The following is an 18849-nucleotide window of genomic DNA, read 5'->3' on the forward strand; positions in this document are numbered from 1 at the left end:
TCACGAAGTGAACACACCCTCAAAACCAGCACCCAGATACAGAGAACACAACAAAAGCAGCAGAGAGCCTACTCACCCCTACTTCCAGCCAATACTCCATCCCCTACCCCAGGATAAATGCAATCCCAGCTTCTAATATTGTGCACTGGTTTTGTCTGTTCTTTGAACTTTCTGTAGCAGAGTTATAGAATATGTACACTTCTGTGATTGGCTCATTTCAGCCAACATAATGTCTGTGAGATTCATCCTTCTTGGATATAGTTCAAGTTAATTCATTATCATTATTGTATTGTATTGTATTCAATAAATATTACTACAATTCATTCATCCATTCTACTCTCCAGCATTTGGGTAGTTTCCAGTTTGAGGGCATAAGTAGTAGAAGTATTGTGAATATTCTAGGACATGTTTTCATTAAACATACATGCAGCTCTGTTGGGTACAGTCTAGGCCTTGGAGTGGAATTACAGTTCTCAGAAACAAAAGAAAATAAATAAATTCAAGTTTGATATAGACTTGACTGCTGCAAGACACAGATTCCCTGACTGCAGTGAACCCGAGGTGGCCGTGAGCAGTGGAAGGAGTGTGCTTGTTAAAAGGGCAGATGTGATGCTGGGAGACATGTACAAATCTCAAGAGATTATTCAGGGAAGCACCAGATTTATTTTAAATGATGGGAAGAGGTGTCAAATGAAGGTTATAAAAACATTCCAGTAAATAAGGCCAATGGTGGGTTGATAATATCTTCAGAGAACATGTTTAGGATCACACGGTTCTTCTTCACTCTTCTCTGCAGAACTTCCTGGCAGCGATGGCAGTGGAACATTAGACACGGAGAGGAACAGGAGGTGGGAAGAGGAGGCTAAGTGCATGTGGGCCTGAAAGTCCCTGCTTTGGGAGTTTTTTAACAGTCCTGGATGGAGGTAAGGAGGCAGGCGTGATTCTAAGATCTCAAGGAAAGGAGAGTCTGTGTCACTCTTCTCTTCCCTTGGCCCTTAGACTGTTTACGAATGAAATAATTTCATCAATTATTTCATTATTTCAATATAGCAGATCCCCTCACTGAGACTTCCAAAGATTTTTATCAACAATTTTATGTCACTCCCACTAACTCTTTGAAAGTAAATGACAGAATTTATTTTCCCGTTTAAAAAACAGAAACACAAAGACCCAGCGGAGTCTGCATTTTCTAGGTTTAGTCAGCCATTCTGGAAGCTGTGTCCTGGTAACCACAGTGTCCCAGCTATGAACTCCAGGCAAGTGTACAGCATCATCTTCCATTCACCATGTGGTTACTGCACTTCTCATACAAACTACCTGCGTCACTCAGTTATCCACTATCAAGGACTATGCCACACTCCCTAGAGCAGATGCAGGGCACTTAGAGATTAATAAAACAGGCTGGGCACAGTGGCTCAAGCCTGTAACCCCAGCACTTTGGGAGGCTGAGATAGAAGAACTACTTGAGCCCAGGAGTTCAAGACCAGCCTTGGCAACCTAGTGAGACCCCCATCTCTACTAAAAAATAAAAAACTAGCCTGGCATGGTGGCACCTTCCTGTGGTCCCAGCTACTTGGGAGGCTGAGATGGGAGGATCCCTTGAGCTCAGGAGGTTGAGGCTGCAGTGAGTTGTGATTGCACCACTGCACAGCAGCCTGGGCAACAGAGCAAGACCCTGTCTCAAAAAAATTAATTAAATAAATAAAAATAAAAATAAAACACTTTTAGAGTTCAAGTCTTAATCGCCATATGGCTTTGAGCAACTTATTTTATCTCACTATGCCTCCATTTCCTAGACCTGGAAACGAAAATAAGAGAGAATGAAATTTAAACAGCTTCTCAGAAGAGTATGTAAGTTAAGCCACATAAAGCATATAAATATCAGTCACTTAGTAGCCACTCGGCACATGGTAATTACAAAGCATGGTGCCATAAGAAGTTGCTGGGGAGGCAGACATGTAAATGAATGCAGAAAATATATGAGGAATACTAAAATAGAAATTAAAGTGTCCTGTGGCTTTTTCGTCCACATAGACGAGTGTCAAAGCTAGTATCTCTCTGGGAGGATCATGGCAGACAGGAGGCAGGCCTAGATTGCAGCTCCCACTCAGACGGACAGAGCAGCATGTGGAGTATTGCATCATGAACTTTTGCTCCAGAATGACTGCAGGAAGAAATCAGGAAAGCCAAGAGAACCCACAGACCCTCTGAAGGAAGTGAATTGCTCCTGCATGACCTGGGAGACACCCCAAATACCGTGAGTGCCCAAACTATGGAAGTGGGAAAGGGGCATCATTCAGTCCCAAACACACAACCTCACTGGGGAACCTCAAGATCTAGATCACCAGAGAAGATTCTAACATTACCTGGAGCTGAGTCAATTTAGAGAGCCGAGTGAAACGCAGGGGTAGAAGAAGCAGTGGGAAAATCCCTGTGGGCTCTCTGGGTGCCCTAGCAAGCCATTTCTGCCTTGCCTCCCAGGGGTCATTGGGGAGGGCTACCAGAGGCACTGGGAAAAGGCCACAGGGAGAAGGAAGCCTCCAGCTGAACTTCGTAACAATTCCAACTGAACAAGAAGTCTCCTGGCCAGAACTACAGGGAGGGCGTGAATCCTGTGTGCAGACCACAGGTGGGGAAGCACGAAGGGTTCACAGCTTTCACAGCTGGGAGGCTGGTAGCCTGGGGCAAGCTCTCAGCCCTGCTTGTCCACTGCCTGGACACAGACTTAGTGCTGTTGAGCAGGGAATGGTGAGAGTGAGACTGGCCCTTTGGGTTGTGTGGGAGCTGGGTGAGGCCTGTGATTGCCAGCTTTCCCTCACTTCCCTGACAACCTGCATGACACAGCAGAGGCAGCATAATCCTCCTAGGAACACAACCCCATTGACCTGCGAACCACACCTCCATCCCCCACAAGCAAGACCCACTCAAGGAGAGTCTGAACTCAGACATGCCTAGCACTGCCCCCACTTAATGGGCCTTCCCTACCCACCCTGGTAGCTGAAGACAAACAGCATATACTCTTGGGAGTTCTAGGGCCCTACCCACCGCCTGATCCCTCCCATACTACCACAGCTGATGCTCTCTGGAAAGTGCCACCTCCCAGCAGGAAGCCAACCGGCTCAAAAATAGTGCATTAAACCACCAAAACTAAGGACCCTCACAGAGTCCATTTCACCCCCCACCACCTCCACCACAGCAGGCATTGGTATCCACAGCTGAGAGACCCACAGATGGTTCACATCACAAGACTCTGTACAGACAACTCCCAGTGCCAGCCCAGAGCCTGGTAGACCTGTTGGGTGACTAAATTCAGAAGAGAGATAATAATCACGACAGCTCAGATCTCAGGAAGCCACATCCCTAGGAAAAGGCGGAGGGTACTACATCAAGGGAACACCCTGTGGGACAAAAGAATCTGAACAACAGCCTCGAGCCCTAGACCTTCCCTCCGACAGAGCCTACCCAAATGCGAAGGAACTAGGAAACCAACTCTGGTAATATGAGAAAACAAGGCTCTTTAATACCCTCCAAAAAAATCACACTAGCTCACCAGCAATGGATCCAACCAAAAAAAATCCCTGATTTACCTGAAAAAGAATTCATAAGGTCAGTTATTAAGCTAATCAAAGAGGTGCCAGAAAAAGGCAAAGCCCAATTTAAGGAAATAAAAAAAAAATACAAAAAGTAAGGGGAGAAATTTTCAATGAAATAGGTAGCATATAATAAAAAGCAATCAAAACTTCAGGAACCAACGGATGCAGTTATAGAAATTCAAAATGCTCTGGAAAGTCTCAGCAATAGAAGCGAATAAGCAGGAGAAAGAACCTCAGAGCTCAAAGACAAGGTTTTCAAAATAATCCAACAAAGACAAAGAAAAAAGAATAAGAAAATATGAACAAAGCCTCCAAGAAGTCTGGGATTATGTTAAATGAGCAAACCAAAGAATAATCGGCATTCCTAAGAAGAAGAGAAATCTAAGAGTTTGGAAAACATATTAGGGTATCCACTACTGGGTATCTACCCAGAGAAAAAGAAGTCATCACACGAAAAGGATGCTTGCACACATATGTTTATAGCAGCACAATTCTCAGTTGTAAAAATGTGGAACCAACCCATATGCCCATCAATCAGTGAGTGGATAAAGAAACTGCAGTATACATATACAATGGAATACTACTCAGCCATAAACAGGAATGAATTAATGGCATTCACAGCAACCTGGATGAGATTGGAGACTATTATTCTTAGTGAAGTAACTCAGGAATGGAAAACCAAACATTGTATGTTCTCGATCATACGTGGGAGCTAAGCTATGAGGATACAGAGACGTAAGAATGACACAGTGGACTTTGGGGACTCAGGGAAAAAGGGTGGGAAGGGAGTGATGAATAAAAGACTACAATTTGGGTGCAGTGTATACTGCTCAGGCGATGCGTCCACCAAAATCTCACAAATCACCACTAACGATCTTACTTATGTGGCCAGGTGCAGTGGCTCATGCCTGTAATCCCAACACTTTGGGAGGCTGAGGCAGGTGGATCACGAGGTCAGGAGATCGAGACCATCCTGGCTAACATGGTGAAACCCCATCTCTACAAGAAATACAAAAAATTAGCTGGGTGTGGTGGCGGGCCCCTGTAGTCCCAGCTACTCAGGAGGCTGAGGCAGGAGAGTTGGCGTGAACCCGAGGTGTGGAGCTGGCAGTGAGCCGAGATCGCGCCACTACACTCTAGCCTGGGCAACAGAGCAAGACTCCGTCTCAAAAAAAAAAAAAAAAAAAAAGATCTTACTCATGTAACCACACACCACCTGCTCCCCAATAATCTATGGAAATAAAATAATTTTTTTTTTAAAAGAAACTAGGCTGGGCATGATGGCTCACGTCTGTAATCCCAGCACTTTGGGAGGCCGAGGGGGGTGGATTACCTGAGGTCAGGAGTTTGAGACCAGCCTGGCCAACCTGGTGAAACCCTGTCTCTACGAAAAATACAAAAATTAGCCGGGCATGGTGGCACACACCTGCAATCCCAGCTACTCGGGAGGCTGAGGCAGGAGAATTGCTTGAGTCTGGGAGGTGGAGGTTGCAATGAGCCAAGATCGTGCCACTGCACTCCAGCCTGGCCGACGGAGTGAGACTCTGTGTCAAAAAAAAAAAAAAAAAAAGGCCAGGCGCGGTGGCTCATGCCTGTAATCCCAGCACTTTGGGAGGCCAAGGTGGGCGGATCACGAGGTCAGGAGATCGAGACCATCTTGGCTAACCGGTGAAACCCCGTCTCTACTAAAAATACAAAAAATTAGCCGGGCGCGGTGGCGGGCACCTGTAATCCCAGCTACTCAGGAGGCTGAGGCAGGAGAGTGGCGTGAACCCAGGAGACGGAGCTTGCAGTGAGTCGAGATAGCGCCACTGCACTCCAGCCTGGGCGAAAAAGTGAGACTCCGTCTCCAAAACAAAAAGAAAAAAAAAAAGAAAGAAAAGAAAAAGAAACTAATAGGGAAAAAAAGCTAGTATCACTCTTACCTGAGATCTTTAGGCATTATACAGTAAGACTGTCTCAATCTCAGTAAGAACTAAGTAAATAAATAAAATGACAATAAGGGACTTTTGTGCATCCAGAACTTTCAGGCAAAGACTGTAAGTTCTCTAGCATCATTACATGCCCAGGTTATATTTCTCAAGCCTTACTTGTTCCTTCCCACACATTAACATTTCAGAATTATATTTCATTTATAACAGGTATTCTCTAGGCTCACTAACCTGACAGGGTTAATATCAAAAAATAAAAACAAAAATAATGGCATTTAAATAAAAATAGCCTCGGGCTTGAGCCCATCCTAGCAACCACAGTGAAATTCCAGCTTCCCCCCAATCTTCTCAGAGTTCTTGGATGGCCTAAGAATGATCCCCACAGCCTCTAGATGCTACCTGCAACGTTCTTTGCAAGGAGCTCCCCTCCTCCTTTCAATTGGTTCCACCTCTGTCTGCAAAGGCTGCTTTCCTGTCTCTCTTATGGCTCACTTTACTGATACTGAACTCCTCCCTTCCCAATATTGAGATCTGCTGTGTCCTGGGGCTGGGGCTATACCTCTCCCGTATCACTCCCCTGCTTTTGTCACCATCACTGCCTCTGTCCTGAGCTACAAGCCCTCAGCTAAGCCACAGCATGCAAGTGCGAGTTTCAGTCCACAGGCAGAGTCGGAGGCCGCTTGCTCCAGAGGAGAACATCCACTTTACTTTCTTACCTTGCTGCATCCACAAGAGGGAGCCTCGTGCCGCTTCTCCAGCCAGAATGGTAGCCCCCAAGGCTCTTCCTCTTCCTCCACCTTCAGGTGCAGCATCCAACAAGGTCAAAATCACAATGTCTTCCATCTAATAAAAAATTACCAGACATGCAAAAAAAAAAAAAAACAGGAAAATATGACCCTTAATATAGAGAAAACAAACATGAAAAACAACCCAGAAATGACACAGACTATAGAATTAGTGGAAATAGTTATTATAATTGTATCCTATATGCTCAAAAATTTAGAAGACTGAACGTGTTGGTAGATATATAGAAGATTTTTTTTAAATAGCCAAATTGAACTTCTGAAGTTAAAACTACAATGTCTAACATGAAAATACATTGGATGAGATTAACAGCAGATTAGACACTAAGAAGAAAAGATTTGTGAACTTGAAAACAGCAATAAAAGCCATCCAAATTGAAATACAAAGAGAAAGAAACCAATGAAAAGAAACAAGAAGAGCATCAGGGCATCGTGGGACAACTTCAATCAGTCTAAAAAATGAAAAGATGCTTCTAAATGTAAAAAAGAATCCTTTAAATTGTCAAACAGCCCATCAGAATTTTTAATAGCTCTATTAGAAAAAAAGTTCATTTTGCTGCTTAAGTTCCAGTAGGCCAATCTTTGTGATGAATCCCTTGGGATGTTGCCAATCCAGACAGGCAGCTCTTAAGGTGACACACCAGTCATCCAGGGACTTACCATCACGTCAGTCATTTTGTTACTGTTTTTAATAATGTAAAATACTTGACCAATGAGGATTCCTTCCGGAAATGCAAGTTATTCAACAATAGGAATCCTATCTACCTAAATCATTACATTTATAAATTAAGAAAACCCGCATGATTTTATGAATGTAAAAAGGTATTTCTCTAATATTTAACAGCACTCTAATAAAAAAGATTAACTAACATAGGAATAGAGAGAAGCTACCTAAACAAGATGAAAGCTGTTTACCAAAACAGAATTCTATTTTTAATCATGATGGAATAATAGAGACTAGATGTACCTTCCCTCCTTACATAACTAAAAGCTGGACAAAATATATGAAGTGAAAGTTTTCAGACATTGGACAACAGGCAGTGCAAGACTGTGATCCCTGAGAGAAAGACAAGTGAGATCAGCCCTGCAAGTACCCCCAGCTCACTGCCTGGAGAATTTCCAGGCTGACCACAGAAAAAAGAAACCAAAACAGAGTCCAACAGTCTCACTGATTAAGGAGACAAAGTTCAGAGTTCCAGCAGGGCAAAATGAGAAAAATTTGTGAGGCAAAGTATCAAAGAAAAAGAACTGCAGAGAGTGAGGGTTCCAGAGATCTGCAGAGCAGTCCCTCAAGACTTTGGCTGAGTACTGCTATGCGCTTGTGTAAGGAGACTACTGAGGCTGGGGAAAGAACAGCAGAGAGGAGTAGGCAGAACAATTTCAGGAGTTCACACAGGACCAGAAATAGTGTTTTCCCTAGCCGGTTTGGGAAGATCTCCTAATACGGTGGGGCATCGGGTACAGTTCTCAAAAGCATATTGCCTCAGTGGGGCCAAATTAGCCCTCAGTGTAAAAGTAAAGTATCTAAAGGAATGTTTAGAAATCCAGCACCCCATAACATAAAGTGTACAATGTCTGGTATTCAATAAAATATTACCTAGTATGCAAATAAGCAGGAACATAAGACCCAGTATTGGAAAAAAACATCATTCTATAGACATAGACCTATATATGACTCAGATGTTAGAATTTGTAGGCAAGGACATCAAAACAAGAATTATAAATTCACTCCATATATTCAAGAAGTGCAAGAAAGCATGAGTATGGTCAGGAGAAAAATGAAATGCCTAAGTAAACTTCTAGAAATGAAAAATACAGTAACTGAACTGAAAAATACATTGGCAGGATTAACAGCAGATTAAATGCTATAGGAGAAAAGATTTGTGAATTTGAAGATATTGCAATAGGAACTATCCAAATTAAACACTGAGAGAAAACATAAGCCAGAAGAAAACTAAACAAAGCATCAATAAGTTGTGAGACAATATCAAGTAGCCTAATATATACATAACTGGAGTATCCAGAAGAAGGGAGGAAAATAATACTTGAAAGAAATGGCCATTTTTTTTTCCAAATTTAATGAAATTAACCCACATGTATTAGTCAGAGTTCTACAAAGAAACAGAAGGAATAGGATATATATATATATATATATAGTATTTATCAGTATTATACTATATATATTTATATATATAAAATATATTGCAGGTGTGAGCCACCATACCCAGTATATGTATTATTTATATATGTAAATATGTAGTATTTTACCAATATAAATATATTGGCAACATATAACTATATTTACATATATAAATACATTAGAGGGAGAGAGAGATTTATATGAAGAATTGGCTCACACAGTTATGAAGGCTAAGAAGTGCCATGATCTGCCATCTGCAAGTCAGAGACCCAGGAAGGCCAGTGCTGTAATTCAGCCAGTGGTTGAGTCCATCCAGAAGCACTCTCATGGACACACCAAAAATTATGTTTAACCTGCGCACCCCATAGCCCAGTCATGTTGACACATAAAATTTATTATCACAAGTCTACCCTTTGTCAACTTGGCACCTATACACATCTCCTCAAACCAAACTTATTCTCCAAATGAAAATAATAGGTCATAATTCCACCTACCTTAATACTACCCTGGATACAATAAAAAACACACAGTAACTTATTTCCCAGATGAGGAGGTAAAATCCTTGAAAGATGTTTACTCTGATATCCTACAACACTTGCCTGGGTGCAGTGGCTCACACCTGCAATACCAGCACTTTGGGAGGCCAAGGCAGGCAGATCGCTTGAGCTCAGGAGTTCAAGACCAGCCTGGGCAACATGGTGAAACACCAACTCTACAAAAAAATACAAAAATTAGCCAGGCACGGTGGTGCATGCCTGTGGTCCCAGCTACTTGGAATGCTGAGGTGGGAGGATGGCTTGAACCCAGGAGGCGGAGGTTGCAGTGAGCCAAGATCGTGCCACTGTACTACAGCCTGGGTAACAGAGCCAGACCCTGTCTCAAAAAAAAAATTAAATTAAAAATACTTAAATAGTACGATATAAAATATTATAAATACATCTGATGTTACATGATAAGGGAATAAGAACAGAAGGATAACAAAGATACACACACAAATGTGTTTATGGCAAAATAAGGAGAAAATAGACACGGCAATTACCATCTTTGTTTCTGTAATTGGCCACATGGCCATGGCTGGTATTTACAACTACCTTTTCCCACTATCCATTCTGTATTCCCGTTGCCTTCAGCAAGCACCTCAGCTTTATCTGGCAGGGTGACTTCAACTTTTATTCCTGAAGGGTTTGAGCCATTTGTAGCCCTGCCTGGTCAGGCTGTAGTTTTCTATTGACATAAAACACAGGGCATGGTAATACTAAAAGATACCCTAAGGAATCTCCTGTATTCTGGATATACTTACTCTTCCTTAACTCCATTGTGGAATAGTAGTCCAATTTCCCCCTTGGTAGTCAGGACCAATCATCCCAGCCAACACTGTAACTCCCTTCTTTACCTATTAATTGAGAAATATAAGGACCCCAAAGTGGCCAGGTGGAAGTCTTTAACTTCCAGTTCTTGGGATCATTATTGTGTCTCCTGGTGGAAATATCCCTTCCTAATGGAAATATCCCTTCCTCTAGAACTAAGACCTCTAGGTCAGCAAAGCATAAAGTCAGGAACAGGAAGCAAAAATTTTGCCAGTGGGTCACTCGGGGTAATAGTGAGTGGTGCCACTCCCACTCTTGTCCTTTGATCTCTTGACCTGTGAGTGCTACTTGCTGTAGGAGAAACAAGATCTTATATTGGACACTGATTCATAGCATATACAGCCTTCTGGGGAACTTCACTCCACCCCTGCAAGAAATTGCCACCTAGCTGGTGTCATAACTGAGACTTCAAAATGCTATTCCACTGTTTTATCAAGCCAATTGCTTCAGGATGATGGGGAACATAAATCAGACCAGCAAATTCTACCAGCATGGGTCCGTTGCTCCATTTCTTTTGCTGTAAAGTGAGTTCCTTGATCAGAAACAATGCAATGTGGACTACTACAATGATGAATAAAGCATTCTATAAGCCCATGGATGGTAGTTTTGGCAGAAGCATTGTGTGCAGGGAAGACAAAAAATATCCAGAGTGTCTATTAAGAACAAACACTGTCCCTTCTATGATGAAAATGTCCCCACATAACCTACCACCAGGTGGCTGCATGATCACCCTAGGGACTTGATGTTGGTCTCTGCTCAATGTTGGCCATATCAGGGACTCAGTGTTGCTCTCTGCTGTTGGCAGATTGGACTTTCAGCAGTGGCTGTAAGCCAGATTGGCCTTGTTGAGTGCAAGTCCACGTTACTTCACCAAGCATAACCTCCATCACTGCCATCATGGTCACTTTGTTCATGAGACCATTAGGCAATGACAGAGGTAGCTGGGAAACAAGGGTGATCAGTATCCGCAGAATGGGTCATCTTGTCCACTTGATTATTAAAATTCCCTTTGGTGAGTATTCACATGGGACACAAATATCACCATGTGTTTTGCGCACTCAGAGAAATCTGTCCATATACCTCTTCCTTAAATTTGTCACCAATTTTCCAATCATGTTCCTCTCAATTCCCTGAACATCCAGCCAAACCATTGGCCACAGTCTGAACTGATATATAATCACAGGACTGGCCATTTCTCCTTCCAAGAAAAGTGCACAATCAGATGCACTGCTCAAAGTTCTGACCCGTAAGAGGATTTCCCTTCACAGCTGTCTTTCAGGGATATCCCAGTAACAGGTTCTAGTACTACAGCTGTCCACTTTTGGGTGGTGTCTGCATATTGTGCAGAACCATCTGCAAACCAGGCTTCTCCTATTGATTGATCATAGGGAACTCCCAGTAACACCATAGGTGCATGCAGTGGGAGAGAAGGCAGTGTTGCAAGAGTAGATACCATGAGCATTTGGGTCACTTTTTCATGTAACTTACATGTGCCTTCAGGGCCTATTCCAACCAGATCATGTATGTACTGCTTCCATTTGATGATGGAGTGCTGTGTATGCCAAATTTTATGACTTGGTGGATCAGGTAACAGCCAGTTCATGATGGGCAGCTCAGGTTGCGTGGTAACTTGGCAGCCCATGGTCAAACATTCAGTCTCCACTAAGGCCCAGTAGCAGACCAAGAATTGTCTTCCAAAAGAAAAGTAGTCATCTTTGGAAGATGTCAGGGCTTTTTTCCAAAATTCTAAATGCTTGCACTGTGATTCTTCCATTCATCCCTATCTGCCACTGACACCTCAAGCACCATGGATCCACTGGATCATATGACTCAAGCAGCAGGGCAGCTTGCACAGCAGCCTGGTCCTGTTGCGGAGCCTTCTCTTGTTGTGGGCCCCACTCAAATCCAGCAACTTTTTGGGTCACTGGGTAAATGGGCCAGAGTAACACTCCCAAATGAGGAATGTTGACTCTAAAATCTTAAGAGGCCCACTTTCTTGGTTGTAGGAGGGGCCAGACACAGTAATATACCCTTCACTTTAAAAGGGTTGTCTAGCCATGCCCCACACCACTTGACGAATAGAAATTTTGCTGAGGTACAAGCAAAATTTGCCTGAATTTTAGGCAAGTCACACAAATGTCTTACCAATAAGTCTACAGTAGTTGTTATTTCTTACTCACCAGGTCTAATCAGCATTTAAAATGCCGGGGGGGGGGGGGAATCTAAAAATAGCATCACTAAGATTAGGACAACATCAAGTTGCCTAACACACATATAATTGAAGTTCCCAGGAAAAAGGAGAAAAAAAAATACTTGAAAAAAGTGGCCACTTTTTCCAAATTTAATGAAAATTATTAATCTAAATATTCAAAAATAGGTTGGGCATGGTGGCTCATGCCTGTAATCCCAGCACTTTGGGAGGCCAAGTCGGGCAGATTACCTGAGGTCGGGAGTTCAAGACCAGACTGGCCAACATAATGAAACCCTGCCTCTACTAAAAATACAAAAATTAGCCTGGCATGGTGTTGGGTGCCTGAAATCCCAGCTACTCAGGAGGCTGAGGCAGGAGAATCACTTGAACCCGGGAGGCAGAGGTTGCAGTGAGCTGAGATTGCACCATTGCACTCCAGCCTGGGCAACAAGAGTGAAACTCTGTCCCCCGCAAACAAAAAAAAAAGAAAAGACATACCAAAAGGCAAAAAACAACTTGAAAAAGTGGAGCAAACATCAGAACGAGACTCAGACATGTCAGGGATGTTGGAATTATCAGACCAGTAATTTAAAACAAACATGATACATGTGTGAAGGGCTCTAGTAAATAGCATGCAAAAACTAATGGACAGGCCGGGTGCAGCGGCTCACGACTGTAATCCCAGCACTTTGGGAAGCCACGGCAGGTGGATCTTCTGAGGTCAGCAGCTTGAGACCAGCCTGACTAACCTGTCTCTACTAAAAATACAAAAATTAGCCAGGCAGAGTGGCGGGCACATGTAATCCCAGCTACTCCGAGGCTGAGGCAGGAGAATCGCTTGAACCCGGGAGGCGGAGGTTGCAGTGAGCCGAAATCACGCCATTGCACTCCAGCCTGGCGACAGAGCGAGGCTCCGTCTCAAAAACAAAAAACAACTGTTGGACGATAGAAGCAGAGAGATGGAAATCCTAGGAAAGAACCAGAAAGAAATGCTAGAGGTCAAAAACGCGGTAATGGAACCAAAGGATGGCTCTGATAGGCTGATTGGTAGACTGGACATGGCTTAGGAAAGAATCTGAGCCTGAGAATATCTCAATAAAAATATCTATAACTGAATGACAAACAGAAAAAAATGGGGGAAAGAAGGACAAAATATCCAAGAACTGTAGGACAACTACAGAAGGCGTACATATTTGTGCTAGAAATACCAGGGGAAAAAAAAGGAGAGAAAGGAACAGAAAATATATTTGAAATAATTATGACAGAGACTCCAAATTAATGTCAGACATCAACCCATAGATTCAGGAATCTAAGACAACACCAAGCAGGATAAATGCCCCCAGAAACAATACCTAGGCATATAATTTGTGAACTAAAGAAGTCAAAGATAAAGAAAAAAATCCTTACATATTTTGGATATTAATCCCTTAAAGATACATGGTTTGAAAATATTTTCTCCCATTCCACAGGATTGCCTTTTCACTCTGTTGATGGTTTCCTTTGCCATGCCAAAGCATTTTAGTTTAATGCAATCCCAATTTTCTATTTTTGCTTTTTTGCTTGCATTTTTGGTGTCATAGTCAAAAAATAATTGCCCAGACGACTGTCAGGATTTTCCTGTTTTCTTTTTTTTTTTTTCCAGATGGAGTCTTGCTCTATCACCCAAGGCTGGAGTGGAGTGGCACGATCTCGGCTTACTGCAGTCTCCGCCTCCCAGGTTCAAGTGATCTCCTGCGTCAGTCTCACAAGTAGCTGGGATTACAGGCGCACATCACCATGCCCAGCTAATTTTTGTATTTTTAGTAGAGACAGGGTTTCTCCATGTTGGCCAAGCCAATCTTGAACTCCTGACCTCAGGTGATCCACCTGCCTTGGCCTCCCAATTGCTGAGATTACAGTCATTAGCCACCACACCCAGTCCTCTGTTTTCTTCTAGTAGTGTTATGGCTTAAGGTCTTACAGTTAAGTCTTTTGAATTTAATCCATTTTGAATTGCTTCTTGTATACAGTACGAGAGTCTAATTTCATTCTTCTGCATTTGAATATCCAGTTTTTTCATCACTATTTACAGAAGAGACTATCAGTAATTAAATAGTAAGGGGAAGCCTCCCAAAACAAAAAGCACCAGGCCAGATTGGTTCACTGGTGAATTCTACCAAACATTTAAGAAATAAATTATACTCATTTCAGAAGATAGACACAGAAGGAACAATTACTAACTCATTCTACAAGGCCCGCATCATCCTAACACCAAAATCAGACAAAGACTTCACAAGAAAACTGTCTACCAGTATCTCTGATGAACATAGATGCAAAAATCTCCCCCAAAATATTAGCAAATCAAACTCAACAATGTATAAAAACAATTATCCACCAAAACAACATATTTATCCTCACTATGCAAGCCTGGTTCAACATACAAAATCAATTAGGTAATCATCACATGGGGGGGCTGAGGAACAAATAGCACGTGATCATTTCAATAGTTGCAGAAAAAGCATGTGACAAAATCCTACATCCATTCATGATTTAAAAAAAACTCTCAGTAAACTAGGAATAGAGGGGATCTTCCTCTACTTGACAAAGCATATCTATTAAAAACCTACAGCTAACATCATACTTAATGGTGAGAATCATGAAGTTTTCCCACTAAGATCAGGAACAAGGCAAGGGTGTTCTCTCTCATCACTGTCTTTCAACATTGTAATGGGAATCCTAGCTAATAAAATTTAAAAAAAGGAAATAAAATATATACAGACTGAGAAGGGAAAAAATAAAACCGTGTTTGTTTGCAGATGTCATGATTACCTATGCAGACAATATAAAATAACCAAGAAAAAAAAACTTCTGGAATAAGTGATTATAGCAAGGGTGCAGGATGCAAGTTTAATATACAAAAGTCAGTCACTTTTCTTTTTCTTTTCTTTTAAGATGGAGTCTCACTCTGTCACCCAGGCTGGAGTGCAGTGGTGCGATCTCAGCTCACTGCAACCTCCGCCTCCCGGGTTCAAGTGATTCTTCTGCCTCAGCCTCCCGAGTAGCTGGGACTACAGGTGCACCACCACACCCGGCTAATTTTTGTATTTTTAGTAGAGACTGGGTTTCACCATATTGGCCAGGCTGGTCTCGAATTCCTGACCTTGTGATCTGCCTGCCTCGGCCTCCCAAAGTGCTCGGATTACAGGCATGAGCCACCGCGCCCAGCCAATCACTTTTCTTTATATCAACAATGAACAAGTGAAAACTGAAAAACATAATACCATTTATGTGCTCACTTTGGCAGCACGTATTCTAAAACACATAATACCATTTAAATTAGCACCCTGTAAAATGAAATACTTAGTTATAAATTTAACAAAATATGCACAAGATCTATGTAAGGCAAACTATAAAACCCTGATGAAAGAAATCAAAGAAAAACTAAATAAACGGATAGACAATTGATGTTCATGAATACAAGGACTCAATATTTTTAGGATGTCTGTTCTTCCCAACTTGATCTATAGATTCCAATGCAATCCCTGTCAAAATCCCAGCAAGTTTATTTCACAGATATCAACAGAGTATTCTAAATTTTATATGCAGAGCCAAAGCACACTTAATAGCCAATTCAATATTGAAAGAGAAGAACAAAGTTGGAGGACTGACACACCTGACTCGAAGACTTACTCTAAATCTACGATAATTAAGACAATGTGGTATTTGCAAAAGAATAAATCAATAGATCAATGGAACACAATAGAGTCCAGAAATTGACGCACATAAATATAGTCAACTGATCTTTGTCAAAGAACAAAGGCAATACGTTGAAGAAAAATAGAATGTTTGTTATAATAGACATCCACATTTAAAAAAAAAAAGAATCCAGACACAGACCTTACACCCTTCACAAAAATTAACTCAAAATGAATCGCAGACCTAAATATAAAACACAGACCTATAACGCTCCTAGAAGGTAATAGGACAAAATCTAGGTGAGCTTGGGTTTAGCAATAACTTTTTAGTTGTGACACCAAAGTCATGATCTATGAAAGAAAGAACTGATAAGTTGGACTTCATTAAAAGTAACAACTTCTGCTCAGCAAAGGACACTGTCAAGAGAATGAAAAGACAAGCCTTTGGGAGAAAATATTTGCAAAAGACATAATTGATAAAGGACTGTTATCCCCAATATACAAAGAATTCTTTAAAACTCAAAAATAAGATAACGAGAAACCCAATTTTTTAAATGGGCCAGCAAGCTTAACAGAACCTCACCAAAGAAGATAAACAAATAGCAAACAAACATATGAAAAGATATTCTACATCCTGTGTTACCATGGAAATACAAATTAAAATGATGATGAGATACTACTAACACCAATTAAAATGCCCAAAATTCAGAATACTGACACCACCAAACACTGGTGAGGATCTGTAGCAACAAGAACTCTCATTGCTGGTGGAAATGCAAAATGGTACAGCTACTTTGGAAGATACTTTGGAGGCTTCTTACAAAACTAAACATACCCTTACCATACAATCCAACCAGCACACTCCTTGGTATTTACCCAAAGGACTTGAAAACTTATGTCCACACAATTACCTACACATGGATACTTATAGAACCTAACTTTATTCCTAACTGGGAAATATTAGAAGAAACCAAGATGACCTCTAACAGTTAAATGCATAAATAAACCAGATACATCCAGACAAAAGGGTATCATTCAGCACTAAAATGAAATTATCAAGCCATGAAGCGACACGAAAGAAACTTAAATGCAAATTACTAAGTGAAAGAAATCAGTCTGAAAAGGCTACATACTGTATGATTCCAACTACATGACATTCCGTAAAGGCAAAACTATTAAGACAGGAAAAAGATCAATGGTTGCCAATGATTGGAGTGGAAGGAAGGGTGAAGGTGGGACACAGGATTTTTAGGGCAGTGAAACTACTCTGTATGACACTGAAATAGTGGATGCATGTCATTATACATGTGTTCAACCCCATAGAATGTACAGCACCAACGGTGAACCCTAATGTCAACTATGTCAATAAAGGTTCATCAGTTGCAACAAATAGGCCATTTTGGTAGGGGTTGCTGGTCGTGGGGAGGCCATGCATGTGTGGGTGCAGGTGAATATGGGAAATCACTGTGCCTTTTGCTAAATTTTGTTTAGAAGAGAACAGAACCCAACCTAGTATGTTCCAGTAGTAACAGTTATTCGCATGGGGGCTGAAAACATTAAAAACAGGTGGGTGGGGTCAGAAGCTTACCTGAGAGAAAATGGAAAGGAGATGAAAACAAAAAGGACCAAGGAACAAATGCAATGAATAGAAAACAAATATCAAGACGACGCATTGTAACCAAAGCATATTGGTAATCTTGATATTAGTTATAAATGTACTAAACAATTATAGACTACATACAAGAAACCCATTTTTGCTCATATTTATTTTATTTTGATTTTTTAATGCTGCACAAGACAATATCTATTTTTTCTTGTATTTATATGCTGCTATTTACTGAAAGTGAGAGGGACCTTATGTGGCCTTTTTCTTTTTCTGTAGGCCACCTTAGAGCTTTCTAAATTTGGAATACTTGATCAAGCTGAAAGAAAAAGGGAGTTTCACAAAATCAATGGGGGTGGGGAGGGGAAGGCTGCTTCATTAATTATGCCCTGTGGTGGTTGATTAACTGCTTGTACAATTGTTTCACTTTTAATAAATTACGCTTACAGTGCTCCTGCTGATGAAGGCACCTGAGCTGAATACAGTTACATCCGGGGTACAAGTGAAGGGACAGTGGCATTAGTGGCAGTTATATCCACTAGCAGGGCCAATTCTCAGAAAAGTCGCAGCCATGTGGGCCCTGTGGGGCTTGAGAGTAGCATCCTCAGGAATAGGTGATGAGCAAATTCTGGAAAGTGGTCCCAGAAGTCAGGCCTCGGCAGCAGAGCAGGTCTCAGGTGCTTGGCATGCAGTCGGCCTGCTGGCTGACACGATCTTGCCTGGGAAGCATGGGACACAGTTCATGGGCTGCTACTGGTGGGAGCCAGGGTAATGGGGTGCACATCCACCCTCCTGAAACAGGTCAGGGTCACTGTTCTCTTTGTCTAAGGTATTATCTGAGCTCGTGGTCTCACAACCAAGAAAATTAAAGAGCATGGACACAAAGGGTGAGGTTGGAGCAAAAATTTAATAAGCAAAAGAAGAAAGCTCTCCACAGAGGAGAGGGGTCCCGGATGGTGGCCAGGTTACAGTTGAATTCAAAAGCTTTTATAAGAAACTGCTCTCATCTCCGTAACCGTTTGAGTAACTTATCTATAAAACTGTCTGCATAACTCCCCTTATCTATACAGTTGTGGGTATGTCTGTAGGTAAGCACAAAGTACAGCTTTTTGTTTGTGTAAGTGTGGGTTTAAGTAAGCCCCCTTCCCCCCTGGGCAAGTTCCCTTGGAGCCCACCATGTACATGTCTGAAAAGGGGAGAAACTTTTTCCTGGGAGCTCGCTAATCATACAAAGAACAAAAACAGCCTCTGTGCTGGACTGTGCCTGCCTTACCTGTTTATCTGTGGCTTATCTGTACACCTGCAGTCTGAATTTTTTCCAGGCTGCTCTATTTTTGCCTGTAGCTGTGATTTTTCAGGCAGGCAGCGTCACAATTTTTCAGACAGGCAGCTTCTCCAAGGACTAGTCTGTTAGTTGTTTACCCAACTAATTTTTCCATTCCTTCTCCCTCATCCCCACCTTGAGGAGTGGAACCCTTAACTGCTGCTAGGGAGACCGGGTGTTGATTTTTCTAGCTACTTCCCACTGGAGAGGGGCATTGTGTGGG

The 18849-nt window shown here is 41.9% G+C and overlaps 1 long non-coding RNA gene across 1 annotated transcript in view, besides 1 other annotated feature; it reads right to left on the reverse strand.

Annotated features, from left to right (window-relative positions):
• Positions 1-643: 643 nt before the first annotated feature.
• LOC124902793 (uncharacterized) overlaps positions 644-18849 on the reverse strand; it is a 52972-nt gene continuing 34766 nt past the window's right edge. Inside the window, exon 2 of the long non-coding RNA XR_007062952.1 lies at positions 644-6367. This is a non-coding gene — a long non-coding RNA (uncharacterized LOC124902793). The remainder of the gene's footprint in view (positions 6368-18849) is intronic.
• Positions 6082-6376: an enhancer, noted in NCBI's record as "tiled region #8939; K562 Activating non-DNase unmatched - State 12:CtcfO". NCBI's record gives its function as "activates a minimal TATA promoter and a strong SV40 promoter by Sharpr-MPRA in K562 cells {active_cell/tissue: K562}" and the evidence as "EXISTENCE:reporter gene assay evidence [ECO:0000049][PMID:27701403]".

This window comes from Homo sapiens, chromosome 11 (genome assembly GCF_000001405.40).
Source record: "Homo sapiens chromosome 11, GRCh38.p14 Primary Assembly".
In the NCBI taxonomy this organism is placed as follows: Eukaryota; Metazoa; Chordata; class Mammalia; order Primates; family Hominidae; genus Homo; species Homo sapiens.